The following is an 18,835-nucleotide window of genomic DNA, read 5'->3' as shown; positions in this document are numbered from 1 at the left end:
AACCAGTGAAATCTGCAGCAAACTTACCAAAAACATGGAATCCCAAAGTGCAGGTATAGGTAGCCCATTCAATGTCTCTTGTAGTTTCCACACTTACGACTTGCTTACAGGCAGAGGGAACCCCTGCAAAAAGCAAACAGTCTGGCAACATCTAAGCCAAGGCCCCACCCCTCCCCTAAGCAAGGCTGAGCCCCCAGAGCTGTGCCCCGTTGGGTACAGAGCCCTTCCTGGAGAGGGAGACCTTCCACTTCCCAGTCGGGCAGGAACCACGTGTGCACAGATGTGAGTTCCCCTGGAACTGAGCCCGAGCCCATGGGCCTGGGTGGAGGTGCCCTCTTCTTTGTTTTTTTCCCATCTCCGTCCAAGTCTGTTTCCCACAGTCTGGCTTCTCTAGCCTCTGGTTCCTGGGTCTCCGCCTGCTGCCCACCCCCACCCGAGCCCCTGAACACAGCTCTGCCTCTGCGGTCAGGCCCCCTCGCCTCCCTATACCCCTCAGTCCCTTCAGATCAGTGTCAGGAATGGAGGTTATTGAAACCAGTCAAACCAAGGGCCTCCCAGGGGACTTGTGTGTTCCCCAAATGAGCTCTCACCAGCAGAGTACGAGACCACATCTGAGAAGGCTCTAGACCCAGGGCTTGTCCCTGAAAATCATACCGTTCCTGTGCCTGTGTCAGGCAGGAGCTGGACAGGGAGGAGGTGAGACGGTGCGGCCGCCCTCCGCACTGGAGCGAGCTCAGTCTCGGTACACACTGCCCTGCTTTCCCTGCCGCCAGTGGTCCTGCCTGTCCTGGTCCTCAACAAGTGGGGACGCTCAAGTGAGTGTGACCCGCCCACCCCCGTGGGCTCTTGGGGCCTGTGTTTTGGGCTCTGAGCCCTTCCCTGCATCATGCGGCCAAGCCAGAAAGTGCTGTAGGTCATCTGAGAAGACGCAGAGGAGGAGCGCTGCGCTTTCCAGTAACTTCCAGCAGGGGAGCAGCGAGGCCTTCCTTGTGCCCACGCGCCGCCCTGCGTGGCCCAGAGTGGGGCACGTGGCAGGTGCCTGGTGGGTGTCTAAGGAACCAGTGCGTGGCATGAGGATGTGCTTGTAAGTGCCCGCCACGATCATCCTCGCTGTTCCCAAGCACTGCCTGGGCCCAGAGACTGGCCAGGGTCAGGTTGGGAGGGGAGGAGGAGGGGTCCCAGGGCTGCCGTCCACCCAGCGGGGATGGACTTCATGGTCCCTCCTGTGAGGATAACACCTTTACAGGCCCTCCTCCTGCCTGGACAGCTCCGGACCCACCCACTTCGGCCACATCCACCCGGACCCGCCCCCTTCTGCCACATCCGCCTGCCCCAAGCCCCCCTCTGCAGGGCTTGGCCTTCTTCCCCTTGGGGCAGGCCCTGGATCTTCTCCTCCATAGGGGCTCACAGTCAGCAGGAAACCGGGAAGGACCCAAGAAGCCACGCAGCCCCACTCCCCTACGTTACAGAGGCGGAAACCATGACCTAGAGATGATGGCACGTGCCTAAGTCATACAGGAGGTGGGTTCTCACAGAGGCCCCCTGGATCTCAGAGTGAACGCTTTCTGAGATCGAGACTTCATACAACCCCGGGGTGGTACTCACAGTAGAGGATTTCGTAGTCTCCGGAATTTGACACGAGGAACTGTGAGTTTACAGACCAGTCCAGGTGAGTAATGAAGCTGGAATGACCCTGGGAGGGTAAAACACTGTCTTCATTTCATTGGCCTTAGAAGTCCCTGCCAACACTGTTCCACGGTAGTTAAACTATACGCAGTGCATGAGAAGCGACAGGTCCACTGTCAGCGCTTACCGAGCACTTGCCCACTCGCGTGTACTTCCTCCCGTTGTCACTAACGCCATATATATAGATGCAGTTGTCATGTGAGCCTATGGCTAAGAAATTCCCATCTATAAAAAGATGACAAATTACATTTCAGATGTTAACAATACACATTTTGTTCGTTACAAAGGATAACGGTAGCTGCCACCACAGATTTAGACAAAATCACCAGATTAATGAATTATTTCCAAGAGAAAAATCTGCTTTTCAATGAATCCTTTGCCACTTCCAAAGCTATCTTTTGAAAAACACACATCTGGCCAGATGATAAAACCTGGTAAAGGTTTATAATTTTTTTTTTTTTTTTTTTTTTTTGAGACGGAGTCTCGCTCTGTCGCCAGGCCGGAGTGCAGTGGTGCGATCTCGACTCACGGCAAGCTCTGCCTCCCGGGTTCACGCCATTCTCCTGCCTCAGCCTCCCGAGTAGCTGGGACCACAGGTGCGTGCCACCACGCTTGGCTAATTTTTTGTATTTTCGGTAGAGACGAGGTTTCAACGTGTTAGCCAGGATGGTCTCGATCTCGTGACCTCGTGATCCGCCCGCCTCGGCCTCCCAAAGTGCTGGGATTAAGGTGTGAGCCACTGCGTCCAGCGATTTATAAATTTTTATGAACTCTTTTTTTTTTTCTTTTGAGACAGGGTTTTGCTTTGTCACCCAGGCTGGAGTGCAGTGGTATGATCACAGCTTACTGCAGCCTCAACCTCCTGGGCTCAAGTGATCCTAGGGAAGTATCTGGGACTACAGGCGTGTGCCATGACACTTGGCCAATTTAAAAACATTTTTTTGTAGAGTTGGGGTCTCGCTGTGTTGACCAGGTTGGTCTCAAACTCCTGAGCTCAAGTGATCTGCCTGCCTTGGCCTCCCAAAGTGCTGGGATTACAGGAGTGAGCCACTGCCCCCTACAAATTCTTTTCATACAATTTTATGAAATCTTATAAGCCCCTCCCTGTCCCAATCACTGAAGGATGAAGACTCAATTCCTTGGAAGGGCCCAGAAAGCCCACCAGGACAGCCTTCTAGCCACGTTGCTCCTCACTGAACACACGGGTTCACTCAGGCCTCTGCACTCACTGCTCTCTGCCTGGACAGCCCTTCCTGCCTCTCTTCCCAGGGGTATCTTGGTATGTTCTTCCCCTGGGTTTCTGGTTCTGGGAGGGCCTAAGGACCCAGGCTGCGATGCTTGTGTGGAAACACATGGGAAGGAGCCCTTTGCAACAAAAGGCAGCAGCAGCCCTGGTGGCTGGAAGCAACCATGCTGTGCACGCTATGCAGGGAGGGGGACTCACGATGCCCAGGACAGGAAACACGGCCAGGAGGTGAGTCCGGGAAAAGGTCAGACTTTCCTGAGCCAGCAAGCAAAAAGAAGGACTGGAAACCTGGAGCCATGCAGGGCCCAGAATAGAATGCAGGGTAGCAGGGGTCTCTCTGCTCCAGCTAGGGGGCTGCAGGTCCTCCATCCACAAAACACAGCAAGCGGCGCATTTTCATAGCAGTCGGGAGGCTCCACTTGGACAATATTTGTACAGGGCCTTGCGCTCACAGGCGCGTAAAGCATCAGGTAAGGGTTGTTTCTCCCCTCCTTCTTTCCTGTGATTTTCCTTCTGCCAGGCAGGAATCCTGCAGGACCCAGGGTGGCCTGGCGCCTCAGGGAATGGTATTTTAGGAAGTGTTGGCCTAGGCCAGGACAAAATAGGGGCGATGTAAGACCAAGGCAGCCTGTCCAAATCAAGAATTCTGAAGGAATGGGGCAAATACATATTTTTTGCTGAGAAAAACAAAAGGACTGCTGAAGCCGGAGACAGGCTGTCATCGGCTGCTGATGAGGCTTGAGAAGGCCAGGTGACCACGCCAGAAACCAACCGTCTCTGCACTCAATGCCTGCAACTGGCCATGCCTGGACAGCAACAGTGACGATGACCGCAATAAACACAAAATGCTACTAACAATGGCCACTTAATGATACCAATTACAATTATTAAATGGACAATATGTTTTTTTTTGAGACGGAGTTTCACTCTTGTTGATCAGGCTGGAGTGTAATGGCACGATCTCAGCTCACTGCAACCTCCACCTCCTGAGTTCAAGTGATTCTCCTGCCTCAGCCTCCCAAGTAGCTGGGATTACAGGCACATGCCACTGCGCCTGGCTAATTTTTGTATTTTTAGTAGAGACGGGGTTTTACCATGTTGGCCAGGATGGTCTCGATCTCCTGACCTCAGGTGATCCACCCGCCTTGGCCTCCCCGAAGTGCTGGGATTACAGGCGTGAGCCACCGTGCCCGGCCTGGCCAATATGTTTGAGAGCCTACTATGTGCTAGGTCCAATTCTAAACTCTTCCTGTGTTAACTTATTTAATTTTCGTATCTTCGTAACAACCTCGTGAAGTAGATATAATTATCCCCATTTTTCAAGAGAGGACAGTGAGGCGTGTACAATAAACTAACTCATCCAAGGTCACACAGGTTTCCTGAAACTGGCTGAAACCCAGGCAATCTGACTCCAGGGGCACTGCCCCTCCGACCAGCTTTAGGGTAAAGAACAGCTGAAAATCTGTCACATGACACGGCAGGGGATTGGCTGTCCACTCTTATGCAAAAGGTCTCAAGGAACTACCCCATCAGGCCAGGTGCAGTGGCTCACGCTTCTAATCCCAGCACTTTGGAAGGCTGAGGTGGGCAGATCACCTGAGATCAGGAGTTTGAGACCAGCCTGGCCAACATGGTGAAACCCTGTCTCTACTAAAAATACAAAAATTAGCTGGAGGCAGTGGCACACACCTGTAGCCCCAGCTACTCGGGAGGGTAAGGCTGGAGAATCACTTGAACTCGGGAGGCAGAGGTTGCAGTGAGCCGAGATTGCGCCACTGCACTCTAGCCTGGGCGACAGAGCGACACGCCATCTCAAAAAAAAGAACTACCTGATCATTTGTGAACTCAAAACATAATGAGGTGTCTTTCATAATGGAACCATTAGTTTTGTTTTGTTTCTTGGGATGGGGTCTCGCTGTGTCACCCAGGCTGAAGTGCAGTAGTACAATCCCAGCTTACTACAGCCTTGACCTCCTCGACTCCTGCCATGGTCTCCCGAGTAGCTGGGACTACAGATGTGCGCTACTATGCCCAGCTAATTTTTTTATTTTTTTGTTGAGACGGGGGTCTCACTATGTTGCCCAAGCTGGTCTCGAACTCCTGTGCTCAAGCAAAACATCCTTGGCCTCCCAAAGTGCTGGGATTACAGGTGTGAGCCACTGTGCCCGGCCATAATGGAACTATTTGTTATTTAACAAACAGGTTTAACGCAATTGGCTATTTAAGGAAAAAAGTCATGTTACAACATCATCCCACAATTTTCGGGCAGTAAAATGCACACATTTCAAGTGCATGGTTCGAGGAGTTTTGACAACTACACCTGCATAATCACCATCGCCATATCTTTTTTTTTTTTTTTTTAAGATGGAGTCTTGCTCTGTTGCCCAGGCTGGAGTGCAATGGTGCAATCTCAGCTCACTGCAACATCTGCCCCTCTGCCTCCTGAGTTCAAGCGATTCTCCTGCCTCAGCCTTCCAGATAGCTGGGATTACAGGCGCCTGCCACCGCGTCTGGCTAATTATTTCGTATTTTTAGTAGAGATGGGTTTCACCATGTAGGCTAGGCTGGTCTCAAACTCCTGACCTCAGGTAATCCACTTGCCTCGGCCTCCCAAAGTGCTGGGATTACAGATGTGAGCCACCGCGCCCGGCCCCCATATCTGTTTTTAAAGATGAATGAAACAGGACTTCACAATCTCTCTCAGCAATCCACTTCTATCTCTGACAGGCTTAATCAGATTGTAATTCCTTTTTCCTATTCTAATCCACGGTCTTCATGCAGGAGTTGAAGCTCACCTCTGCCTGGGGAAGTCCTCCCTGCAGAGGGGAACCGGCTGATCGTACCATCCACAACCCCAGGCCTCTGCACAGGCACGAAAAGATGGCCCAGGAGGCCCTAATCTTCCTTGTAAACAACTCTGACCACCCCACCCCACCCAGGTTTCCACGTCCTTAGCACGCACCCACCAGTGCGTGATGTGGAAATGCAGGCAGTGGCTCAGAGACAAAGGCAGAACCAGGAGAAACGTTCCCTTCCTCAGAGGAGGTGCCTCCCAGCCCCTGGCCCCCGACATAACCACCACGAAAAACCTCAAAATGACTCTCCCGTTGACCGCGACGACTGCCCGGCAAGACGGCAGAGTGTGAGGATTAGAATGTGGCCTTCGAGGCAGAAAAACCTGGGTTCAAATCCTAGCTCTTTTACCTACATTCATCCATAAATATATAAAAACAATTGCCTAAGAAATCAAAACCAACCAGCGTTTGTCAATATGCTAACCAGAGGCCAGAAGAAACCTAGCACAGCCTGTTTCTTGGGTCCCACAGAGCCCTTTTTCTTTCCCTAATTGTTCTCCTCTCCTCCAAAAACTCTCTAAGCCTCATTCCCCAGCTCTCTCGGAGACTGAGATTCCTAAACTTACTCCACTGAAATAAGCTAGGATTTGGCCCAAAATGAAAATCAGCTGGAGAACTCATAAAGCCACGGGAGCAAGAGTCCAGGTGCTCAGGGCAGAAGGACAACCTTACGGCTGTTTTCTACTGATTGCTCACTCTTCACCAGGCTGGAGGCTGGGGGCTTCAGTCAAGCCCAACAGCGCCTCAGCAGAGGGTTCAATTAGACTTGCTCTGCAGATGAGGAAACTGAGGCTTAGTAATTTGTGTACAGCAACACAGCCAGGTGAGTGGCACAGACAGAAATCCTTGCATGCTTGCAAAGTACCTGTAAGCTGACAAGTGAGATCTGGGGTGGGGAGGGAGGGGGTGGCAGCGAAGATGGTCTGCAGGTGTAGGAACAGCCGTGCAGCTATGGTGTAGCCTCTCTCCTGGCACACTGATTGTAATTTTGGGCTTGGAGACAAGACTGCTGCATCTGCATGGGGATCAACCCAGGGAGGGGGAATGCCACATGACAGGGGAAAGGGTTGGCTGGGTGGCAGGGGTTGCATCAGCACAGGGCTCAGACCCAGGCAGATGGGGGATCTAATACTGCAAGTGACGGAGTAAGTGCCAGATTCTGATTCATTCTAGTAAAAGCAGAAAAAGCCCCACCTTTCAAACAATGACATGGATAAGATCAAAGAAGAGAAACACAATTGCATGACCAGTTGCACCTAGTCCTTTCTGGGCTTCTCTCTTTCATCTTCACATTCAGATTTTTACCCTAGGTTCAATGAGCTGAAACTAGAACAGGCAGGCTAAGGATCTGCAGTTGGGCTTAATAAATAGGAAGTTATTTTCTTCCTATTTCTGTTCTTTAAAAAAGTACAATCTTAATTCAATCAAAACTCCATCCTGTCCAATCATAAAGTGCTCTATAAGATTCTCGACATGCATGTTAAATATGAGAATTATCACTATGAAGCTTCTGTATTTAATAAGCCTGAGGGAGCTGGCATTTTGCCAACACTTAGCTGACTGGTTGTGATAAACTTTCACGTAACATTAGTTTATCAGCAAAAGACCATGTTATATAAAATAGTCCATAAATGACAGTTGCTAAAACATGCCTGAGATGGGTATTCAATGGTCCATGGAAATTCTCTAGGCTCATGGCTCTGAGCATGCCAAAGAACCCCCACCCGCTCTGGGTGATCCACATGCACTCCTGGAGGGCTTGGCTTCGTGGTTGCGTTCCAGGCGTGTGCCCAGAGTTCCAGTGCTGACTTTCTGAACCTCCCTCTTCCACCCACGGTGAGGTATAGACCAACAACTGAAACCTGGGCCTGCCTGTTGTGCGAGAAGCGAGAAATTGCCAGAAACATTTAGTTCTCAACTGCTGCTAAAGTTTCGACTGTCCAGTTTATGAGGTAACCCCTCAGACCCGCACCCCTGCACAGTTAACATCAACCTTGAACCTTGATTTGCAAAATAGCCCCAGTTCCTCCTAAAGCTCCTCTCCACAACCCCAGTCTGTGGCAAAGGGTCAGTGTCCACCTGCCTCACTGAGTGTGAAGGTGGCATTTATCTTTGGGCAGGGGGCCTCTGGCTGGGGGCTCGTTGGTCCTTCCCACATCCTGGGAAGGCCCAGGAGGGCCAGCTCCACCTATAAAGCTCAAGAACCGCTACTAGCTTTTCCTCTGGCCATCAGCAGAACCCTCATAGCTTTCCTGAGACTGACGGAATGAGAAAAAGCCCTCATCATTTCATCATGGTTTCCCTTCTTAGCACATGGCAGCGCAGGGTGCTGCTACCTTGGAGATGGGCTACAGATCTCGGCCGGGATCTTGGCAGCAGGTTTCTGAAATTCCATGTCAATGACAATCTGTGTTTGGGCATCGAATGCTTTCTCTCTCTCTCTCTTTAGTCTTAGGTCTGTAAATACTTAAATCCAAAAATGAGATAGTAATCCACAACAGTATAGCCTATATGCTGGAAAAATCTTGTGTAACCAGAAAACTCATACTGCTGATCACATTTTGCTTTGTGTCTGTTGCACTGTAGTTAGTTATAGCTACATTCACGCATGCAACTAACCCGTCATAAACCCTATGCTAGGAGCTAGCTGGGCACACAGTGCTGAACAAAATAGGGTCCCTCCCATCATGGAACTGTGGGTCACTCCCCAGGGGTCTGAGTCCACCATCTGGGTGCTGTTCCAGGGGCCATCACTGCTGCTGTTACTGATGATGATATCACATCCCCTGTGACATCTGCACAATGCTCTGCAGAGAACTCATTCACACTTCTTTCAGTTGGGCCTCATGGTAACTCACTGTCTGCTCTGAAAAGGTCACCTGGCTAACTAAGGGAGAACACTAGATTCAAATGCGGTTGGCCCGGCCCTGGCTTAGGGCTTTCACTTTTGCCCCACACAGCTCCCAGGCAATGACTCTGAAGCTGAGAGGCAGAGTTCTAGTAGGAAGAGCTCTCTGCTCTCCAGGGAATGGTCATTAGTGTAACTGACAAGAAATAGAAACATGTTTCCCAATGGACCTGCTCAAGTTAGCAGGCGCTGACAGGTATCAGATGGCTTTCTAGGAAAGAGGCTGCAGATGAGGCCCTCGTGCCTTCAGCAGACGTTCAAAATAACTGAGAAAATGGTGAGAAACACAAGATAAGATGCAGAACACTGGCTAAATTAACAGAAAGAAATGTGATACTGAGGAGGTTATGAATGAAAGGCATTCCAAGTCAAGCTCCTTCTCAACATGGACAAAAGGCTGCCAAGGGGGCTGAGCAGTTGTCTGTTTAGGGTGAGAAGTTATGAACGTGGTTCAGAGACAACGAAAAAACATCCAAAAGAGATGCTCTATCAGATCTTCTAAAGCTCGAGGACACGTCCCACTGTGAGGCAGAGTTGACGCTGTCAATAAGGTTATAAAATAGAAGATCCCTACAGAGACCAGCAGCTCAGAGTCAGCCACGTATTTCCCAGAACCAAAACTCCAGTTTCCAAGAGTGTCAGCATAGCCAAATGGCCTGTGCATGAAAGAAACAGTATTTCCCACAACATAATCATATAATGAAAAGGCAAGACAATCCCCTACCCTGTGGCAACAAGCACTCCTAACACCCATATTGTGATCTCCTCCCTTCAGATGAAAAAGGAAGGAGGGCCTCCTGAGAGAAAGGGCTATAGGTAAGAAATGTATACAAGGATCCTGGAACAACTTGTTATGCCAGAGAACAAGTACTAAAGGCTCCTGAGGTCACGTCAAAAGGACCCAGGAGCCAACTAGAGTAACTTCCACCTAATATAACAGACAGGAACACAGCAAATAAACTTCAATCCATAATGGCACCAAAACTACACCACTACCCACCACCACCACCACCACCACCACCACCACCATCACCATCACCACCACCACCACCACCACCACCACCACCACCTCCACCACCACCACCATCACCACCACCACCACCACCACCACCACCACCACCTCCACCACCACCACCACCTCCACCACCACCACCATCACCATCACCACCACCACCACCACCACCACCACCACCATCACCATCACCACCACCACCACCACCACCACCACCACCACCACCTCCACCACCACCACCATCACCACCACCACCACCATCACCACCACCACCACCTCCACCACCACCACCATCACCACCATCACCACCACCACCAATACCACCACCACCACCACCACCACCACCACCACCACCGCCACCACTACTACCACTACCACCACCACCATCACCACCACCAATACCACCACCACCACCACCCCCCCACCCCCCCCACCACCAATACCACCACCACTACCACCACCACTACTATCACCACCACTGATCGGTGACTGTTAGAGGAGCAGAAAGCAAATGTATTATCTCAGAAACTGGAAAATAAAGTGAATGAAATCAAGCATTAATTCTGACTTTCCTATATGAACTCTACCACTGGGTACCAAAATTGTAGATGAAGGAAAGTTTTTCTTCATAGAAGTACTATATCTAATAAATGAAGAAGAAAAGCTAACATTGGAAATCAATAGTTGGCAACCTTTATGGATCTAGGCACTGGGTAACAACAGCTACTAATGTCACAAAAAGTGAGAAAAACCCATTATGTGCCTCCTAAAGGAAAAATACAGCAACACATATACAGCTTGAATATGACCAAGCCTCGATATCCAGCAATCACTTTATGGGAAATACAGGGGACAGAGGAACACGTGAAGACAACACCACAAAGATGCATTCAGCAAAATCCAGTGTGGAAAATGCTACAGGACAAACGAGCCAGTTTCATCAACAAATTTACTGTAATAGAGGGAGAGAGAGAACACCTATGGATTAACAGAAACTAGTAAGTCATATCAACCAATTACCATTGTGTGGGCTTTTTTTTGCTTCCTGGTTTAAACAAATTGTTAAAAAAAAGTAAATTGAAAACTGGAACATATAACTGGCCATCTGATGATATTAAGACATCAATGCTGATTTGGGTTGGGGAGGAGACAACGATACTGTGGTTATATTAAAAATAAGAGGGCAGGTCTGTGCTGTGGCTCACGCCTGTAATCCCAGCACTTTGGAAGGCCAAGGGCAGGGGTGAATTGCTTGAGCTCAGGAGTTCAAGACCAGCCTGGGCAACATGGCAAAACCTCATCTCTACTAAAAATACAAAAAATTAGCCAGGTATGGTGGTGCATGCCTGTAGTCCCAGCTACTCGGGAGGCTGAGGTGGGAGGATTGCTTGAGCTTGAGGGATAGAGGTTGCAGTGAGCTGAGATCACGCCACTGCACTCCAACCTGGGTGACAGAGTGAGGCTCTGTCTAAAAAAAAAAAAAGGCAGAGCTGGGTGCAGTGGCACACGCCTGTAGTCCCACCTATTCAAGGGGCTGAGGCTGTAGTGTACTGTGATCACACCTGTGAGTACCCACTGCACTCCAGCCTGCAACATAGCAAGACCTCATCTCTAACAATAAAAAACAGTCATTAAAAAAAATAAGAGCTGCCAGGGGCAGTGGCTTATGCCTATAATCGCAGCACTTTGGGAGGCCGAGGCGGGCAGATCACTTGAGGCTAGGAGCTTGAGACCAGCCTGGCCAATCTGGCAAAACCCTGTCTCTACTAAAAATACAAAAATTAGCCAGGTGTGGTGGCGTAAGCCTGTAGTTCCAGCTACTCAGGAGGCCGAGGCAGGAGAATTGCTTGAATCTGGGAGGCAGAGGTTACAGTGAGCTGAAATCATGCCACTGCACTCCAGCCTGAACAACAGTGCAAGACTCCATCTCAAAAAAAGAAAAAAAAAACCCCAAAAAACACAAAAAATAAGAGGGCAGTTCTTCTAGCTGTGGCCAAATGAGAAGGTTGGCCAATCCTCTCCCCATAAAGCAATTATGAAATTCTATAAAACTGACAAAAACAACCATTTCCAGACTCTGTAAATTGAACAAGACATGAAAATCTGAGAAGTGTTGTTTATTTGAAAATCTTCTCAACTTCAGGTAAAAACAGGGTGAATCCATCATGTTCTTCCCTGGGCTGCCCTCACTCCTTCGCAGCAGCTGGGCCAGCACAGCGGTCCTGGCAGGGAAGAACAGGCTCTGAGGACCACGCGGCTGTGGTAAAAGGGCTCACTCCATATGGAGCCCTGGGCAATAGTAGCACTGGGATGGAAGTGACCATCTCTAGGGCAGTTGGGTGGGGAGGGCCAAGGTTTCTACTGGCTTGAGGTTACGGTTATTGGATGGGTGAGCGCATTCCTGGCTGACGGGAGGCTGGTGCATGCACAGTGGAGGCAGGAAAGGATCCTGCCTATTCAGACACCCTTCCGGCCAATCTGAATCTGTACATGTGCATAGAGGAGATGTAAAAGGGTGAGTGGAAAGTAAAAGCCAGGCCGACATGGAAACGGCCTGAACTTTGAACATGCCCTTCAACCTGCCCACAGAGCCACTGGCAGAGGACGGAGCCTTACTGGCTTAAGTTATTTGTGCATAACCTCTGCCCAATCATTCATTCAAACTACATGAAGCAAAAATAGAGTTGAAAAGAGAAATTTGGTGGCTCCTGCCTGTAATCCCACTTTGGGAGGCTGAGGCAGGAAGACTGCTTGAGCCCAGGAGTTTCAGTTTAGAGACATAGGAATACCCTGTCTCTAAAAAAAATTAGCTGGGTGTGGTGGTGCCTGCCTGCAGTCCCAGCTACTTGGAGGCTGAGGTGGCAGAATCACTTGAACCCAGGAGGTCAGGGCTGCAGTGTGCCGTGTTTGTGCTAGTGTACACCAGCCCAGGTGACAGAGCAAAAAAAAAAAAAAAAGAAAAAAGAAATCTGAATAGACTTGTAAGAAGTAAAGAAATTGAATTAGTAATTAAAAACCTTCCCACAAAGAAAGGCCCAGGTAGTTTCACCAAATTCACATACATTCTGTCAAATATTTAATATAACACCAACTTTTCACAAACTCTTTCAGAAAACAGAGGAGAGAACACTTCCTAATTTGCTCTGTAAGGCCGGTAGTACTCTCATAACTGAGACAGACAAAGATGCCACAAGAAAAGAAAACTATACACCAATATCTGTTAGAAACATGGAGGCAAAAATCCTTAATAGAATCCTAGCAAACACATGTAAAAGGGATTATACACCATGATTAAGGGGAATTTACCACAGGAATGTGAAGTTGGTTCAACATCTGAAAATTAATAAAATGTAGTGATATTAATAAAATAAGATGAAGGATGAAACCCACATAATAATCCCAACAGATGCAGAAAAAGCATCTGATAAACTCCAACCCCATTCATGCTAAAACCTCCAAACAAATTAGAAATAGAAGGGAACTTTCTCACTATGATAAAGGGCATCTTTATCCCTCATGATGAAAGACTGAATGCTTTTTCTCCTCAGAAAAACAGAAGAAACTTAATAAAATGTAGTGATATTAATATAATATAATAAGACTGAAACAACTTTCTGTGGTTTCAGTAACCTGTGGTCAATTGTGGTCTGCAAATATTACGTATAATACAGTATTCTGAAAGAGAAACCATATTCACATAACTCTTATTACAATATATTGTTATATTGTTCTACTTTATTATTATTGTCATTAATCTCTTACTGTACCTGATTTATACATTTAACTTTGCCATAGGCAAGTATATATAGGAAGAAACATAGTACACTTAGCATTTGTTGTTATCCATAGTTTCAGGCACCTGTGTGGGGTCTTGGAAGGTAGCCCCTGTGGATTGGGAGGGACTATTATACTAAAACTAATCAAAGAAGTTTAGAAAGGTCATAGGATATAAGATCTACGTGCAAAATTCAATCCTATTTTTACATACTAGCAGCCAACCAACTGAAAACAAAATTCAGAAAACAATTCCATTCACAATGGCATAAAAAAAACACTTATTTTGGAATAAATTTAACAAAGGAAGTGCAAGACTTGTACACCTACAACTATAAAGCATTGCTGAGAAAAAGTAAAGACCTAAATAAATGGAGAGACAGTCTTTGCTCATGATAAGAGCCACTATTGTCCAGGTGGCAATTTCCCCCATATTGATCTGTAAATTAAACATAATCCCTCTTACAATCCTAACAGGCTTTTCAAAGTTAGAAATTGACGAGCTGGCCTAGTGTGGTGCCTCACACCTGTAATCCCAACACTTTGGGAGGCCGAAGTGAGACGATCTCTGGAGACCAGGCGTTTGAGACCGGCCTGGGCCACAAAGTAAGACCCTGTGTCTACAAAAAAATTTCAAAAAACAAAATAATAAAAAAAGACAAGCTGATCCTAAAATTTATATACAATTTTACATATAGTAGGAACCTAAAATAGCCAACACTATTTTGAAAAAAACAACAAATTTGCAGCAGTGACACTACTCAATTTGAAAATTTCCTCTAAGGTCACAGTAATCGGGGATAAACACAGGTGAAGGGGGCAGAACTGAGTATCCGGAAATAAACCTTTACATTTCTGATCGATTGATTTTTGACAAAAGTGTCATTGATAATTCAACAGGGAAAGACTGTGTTTTCAACAAAAAGTGCTTGGGACAACTAGATACCTCTATGCAGAGCAAACAGGCTCTTCCTTCTCACCATCCACAAGAAACAAGTCTAGTGTACTCTTGTAACTCTTGTGTAATTAACTCAAATGGATCATAGACTCGAATGCAAGGGCTAAAACAACTCTTCTAAAAGAAAGCATACAAGGAAATATTCATGATCTTGGATACGACCCCAAAGGCATGATCCACAAAAGGAAAAATTGATAAACTGAACTTCATCAGAATTGAAAGCTTTTGTGCTTTAAAAAACCCCATTAAGAAAATGAAGGCTGGGCATGGTGGCTCACACCTATAATCCCAGCAGTTTTGGGAGGCCGAGGCAGGCAGATCACTTGGGCCCAGGAGTTCAAGACCAGCCTGGGCAACATGGCGAAACCCTGTCTCTAACAAAAATACAAAAATTAGCCAGACGTGGTGGTGTGTGCCTGTGTTCCCAGCTACTTGGGAGGCTGAGGTGAGAGGATTGCTTGGACCTGAGGTCAAGGCTGCAATGAGCCATGATCATGCCAGTGCACTCCAGCCTGGGTGACAGAGTGAGATGCTGTCTCAAAAACAAACAAACAGAAAAAAAGATAAGCCATACATTCAGAAAAAATATTTGCAAATCATCTATCTGATAAAGACTGTATATACGGAATATATAAAGAGGACTTACTACTCAACAGTAAGACAAACAGCCCAATTAAAAATTGGCAAAATATCTGAATAGATATTTCACCAAAGAAGATATTGGAATGACTAATATGCACATTAAAAAATGCTCAATATCAATAGTCATTAGGGAAACACCAATTAAAACCACAATGAGATGCCATTACACCCTCTTTAGAATGACTATAATCAAAAGGACAATAACAAGTATTGGGAGGATGTGATGATACTAGAACCCTAGCACATGGCTGACGAGAATGTAAAATAGGACAGGCAGTCTGGCAGTTTCATAAAATGTTAAACATAAGTTTACCATACAATCCGTCAATTTCACTCCTAAGAATTTACCCGAGAAATGAAAACAAACACAAAAAGGCATATACATGAATGTTCATAGCATTATTAATAATAATAAAAAACCAGAAACAATCTAAATCCATAAGGCCAGGGTGCGGTGGCTCACGCCTGTAAACCCAGCACTTTGGGAGGCCGAGGTGGGTGGATCACCTGAGGTCAGGAGTTTGAGACCAGCCTGGCCAATATGGCGAAATCCCATCACTACTAAAAATACAAAAATTAGCCAGGTGTGGTGGCATGCACCTGTAATCCCAGCTACTCGGGAGGCTGAGGCAGAAGAATCGCTTGAACCTGGGAGGCAGAGGTTGCAGTGAGGCTCTGTCTCAAAAAAAAAAAATCCATCATTAACTGATGCATGGATAAACAAGATGTGGTATATATCCATAAAATGGAAAACTACCCAGCAATTAGAAGGAATATAGTACTGCTCTGTGCACAGTAACATGGATTAATCTCAAAAACATCATTCTACGTGAATGAAGTCAGATGCAACCAACTACATATTGTAGGAATCCATTTACACGATATGTCCAGAAAAAGCAATTTTTGGAAACAGAAAACAGATCAGTAGTTTCCTCGGACTGGGGGTGAGGGTGGAAGTGAACTGCTAATGGGCATGGAGGAAACTTTTTGGATGATGAAAAGGTTAAAAAACTGGACTGTAGTGATGGTTGTTGCATAGCTCCACAAGCTTATAAAGAATCGATGAGCTGTACATTTATAATGGTTCATTATTGTATGTAAATTACTCCTCAATAAAGCTGTTAAAAAGAGTCCTCATCTTTTTGGGATATATACAATTATTAACAGATGAAATGATGAGATGTCTGGGAACTGCTTCAGAATATGGGAGGCGGGTGGTGGGTGGGGCTCCAGACGCAGGAAACTGGCTGAGAGCTGATCATCATTGAAGCTGGCGGATGAGTACATGGGGTTCATTATTCCATTCTGTTTAATTTTGTCTATGTTTGAAATTTTCCATAACACAAGCACAGTGACCCAAAGGAGGGAAAAGAACCCTAAATGCCATAATTATGTGCATGTCTAATTTAAATTTTACTCTGAGGAGGCTTGTGAAATTTTTTCTTTAAAGACACTGACACAGAATCTCAATTCTGTTGGGATTTTAAAGTAGTGAATACAATAGCAAAGACACAGAATCAACCCAAATGCCCATCAATAGTAGACTGGATGAAGAAAATGTGGTATATATACACCATGGAATAATATGCAGCCATAAAAAGGAACAAGACCATGTCCTTTGTGGGGATATGGATGGAGCTGGAAGCTGTTATCCTCAGCATACCAATGTAGGAACAGAAAACCAAATACCGCATGGGCTCACTTATAAGTGGGAGCTGAATGATGAGAACACATGGACACACTGGGCGGGGAACAAGACACACTGGGGCCTGTTGGAGGGGGGCGAGGGGGAGGGAGAGCATCAGGAACAACAGCTAATGGGTGCTGGGCTTAATACGTGGGTGATGGGTTGATCTGTGCGTTAAACCACCATGGCACACGTTTACCTATGTAACAAACCGACACATCCTGCACATGGACTCCAGAACTTAAAATAAAAGTTGATTAAAAAAATAAAGTAGTGAATGGTTTGGAGTCTAACCTGGTGAGTATCGCATTACAGAGAGCTGTTCGTTTCCATCTGTGTGAACGGTGACCAAGTCTTTTGTTTCTGTGTCAAACACAAACCACCTGTTATCAACATGAGAAAAAGCACAGTAAGTTGTTTAATAAGAAAATGAAGATTATATAATAGTGGGATGAATAAAAATTGTTAATCATAAAAGCTTAATAAATACTCAGAATTTGCTTAATAAGAAAGCTTGTTCCCAGCTTTCATTCAAAGAAAATTTCCTATATATAAGCATTTTCTAATGAAAGGAACAGCATATTGGCTAGCATTCAAAACTATGCCATTATCAACACTATGACATGGTTTCTCTGTGTTTGTGCTTTGTCATTTACACATGGAGAGAAAGCTCTGGGCAGGGAAGATGCCAATACCTAGTGCCAGGGCATATGGTGAGAGGAAGCAGTGAAGGACCACCTGCAAGAGCTCACCCAGGTTTCCAGGGCGAAGCAGGACCATGCAGGAGGATGGGGCTGGGACAACTCCGGGGTGGTGGTGTTCCCAATGGTGCTGCAGACAGAGCAGGCCAAGAGTACAGGCCTTATGGGGATGCTAGCCTGCAACCAACAGGGCGAGGGAAAGCACAGAGCAAATGGGAGAAATTGGAGTGGAGGACTGGTCTTCTAATTTCACCTCGCTGGGCCATTTCCTCAGTGGTGAGATGGGGAGAAGAGCCCAGGTCTACTCTGCAGGCTCAATATTAAAGTCGAATGATAATGGACATGGAAGTGCTTTGTATCCTCTGATAAGCACACAGTACCCACTAAATGAGTGTTAACATCAGAATGACTGAACTCTCCTGCCTGTTATATTCTCAAGGGGTGGTGGTGAGCCCCTGGTGTTTTCAGGATAAATGGATAAATGGATAAGGATAAATGGATAAACTGTTGCTGCAGTTTCTAACCTGCCTGAGGACATCCCATCAGCATGTCCACTGACGCAGAGTGAGTGTCCCTTGTCTTCCACAGGAGCCCCCCTAGCCAGGCACTGTCAGATGTCCTGCCCCCCAGAAATGTGGATTTTGCTTTTCAGTGCCAATTTCTTGCATCTTCAACAACCATTTACCTTTAATGTGCTATTTAACCTTAATAAAGGCTGGGGCTGATTAGAACATGGCTTTGAAGTGACCTGTTAAATCAACAGCATCGGGAGCTAAGCCTAACCTAGGACCTGAATGGCAAGAGGTACAGATGAGGGGCTGGATTAGGTGACCCGATCCATCTCCTCCACCATGGGACACTGTGATTCTGAGCACTGTCACCGTGTCCTACACACACAGTAGGCATGCTGGCATCCGTCAGCCTATTGGGAGGCCAGTCATCAGAAGGTGGGAGCCTGATGAGTTAGAAGGTTTACCTGTCTCAAAGAGAGTCAAATGGGAGGTGGAGTGTGTGTGTGTGTGTGTGTGTGTGTGTGTGTGTGTGTCTGTGTGCATGCGTATGTGTGTGTGTGGCTATACAAACGTTTTCATGAAGAATTCTGTTGGCTACATGGAGCCCAATACTTAAGATATTGCTACCTATGACCTGCAAAGGGCTACACTTTCTTTATCCATATAGGCTCTGCAGTCATAGCAACAGAATTTAAGTGCTACGCTTTTTTAGAGAGGAAGGGTGGGAGGAAAAATATTTGACTGAAACCACAGTAAATGTATACAGTACAATGAGCAGCATAAATGTTCAATCAAAACCTGGAAAGCAATGATAATAATAACCCCTGCAGTGCCTGATGGGCAGCCCTGGCAGG

The 18,835-nt window shown here is 46.8% G+C and overlaps 1 protein-coding gene across 12 annotated transcripts in view, besides 1 other annotated feature; it reads right to left on the bottom strand.

Moving 5' to 3' along the window:
- EML1 (EMAP like 1) overlaps positions 1-18,835 on the bottom strand; it is a 204,339-nt gene that overhangs the window by 4,121 nt on the left and 181,383 nt on the right. For all 12 annotated transcript variants that reach the window (XM_005267398.3, NM_001375411.1, NM_001440377.1 and 9 more), the window contains 4 exons: positions 17,063-17,151; positions 1,814-1,911; positions 1,606-1,693; positions 28-123 (listed from right to left, as the gene is read on the bottom strand). In XM_005267398.3, the coding sequence (XP_005267455.1) occupies positions 28-123; positions 1,606-1,693; positions 1,814-1,911; positions 17,063-17,151 (371 nt within the window). The remainder of the gene's footprint in view (positions 1-27; positions 124-1,605; positions 1,694-1,813; positions 1,912-17,062; positions 17,152-18,835) is intronic.
- Positions 635-764: an enhancer, noted in NCBI's record as "active region_9011". NCBI's record gives its function as "activates an Ori minimal core promoter by ATAC-STARR-seq in GM12878 lymphoblastoid cells {active_cell/tissue: GM12878}" and the evidence as "EXISTENCE:reporter gene assay evidence [ECO:0000049][PMID:35858748]".

The sequence above is a fragment of the Homo sapiens genome, chromosome 14 (assembly GCF_000001405.40).
Source record: "Homo sapiens chromosome 14, GRCh38.p14 Primary Assembly".
NCBI lineage: Eukaryota > Metazoa > Chordata > Mammalia > Primates > Hominidae > Homo > Homo sapiens.
This window is presented reverse-complemented; position numbering and strand designations above follow the sequence as displayed.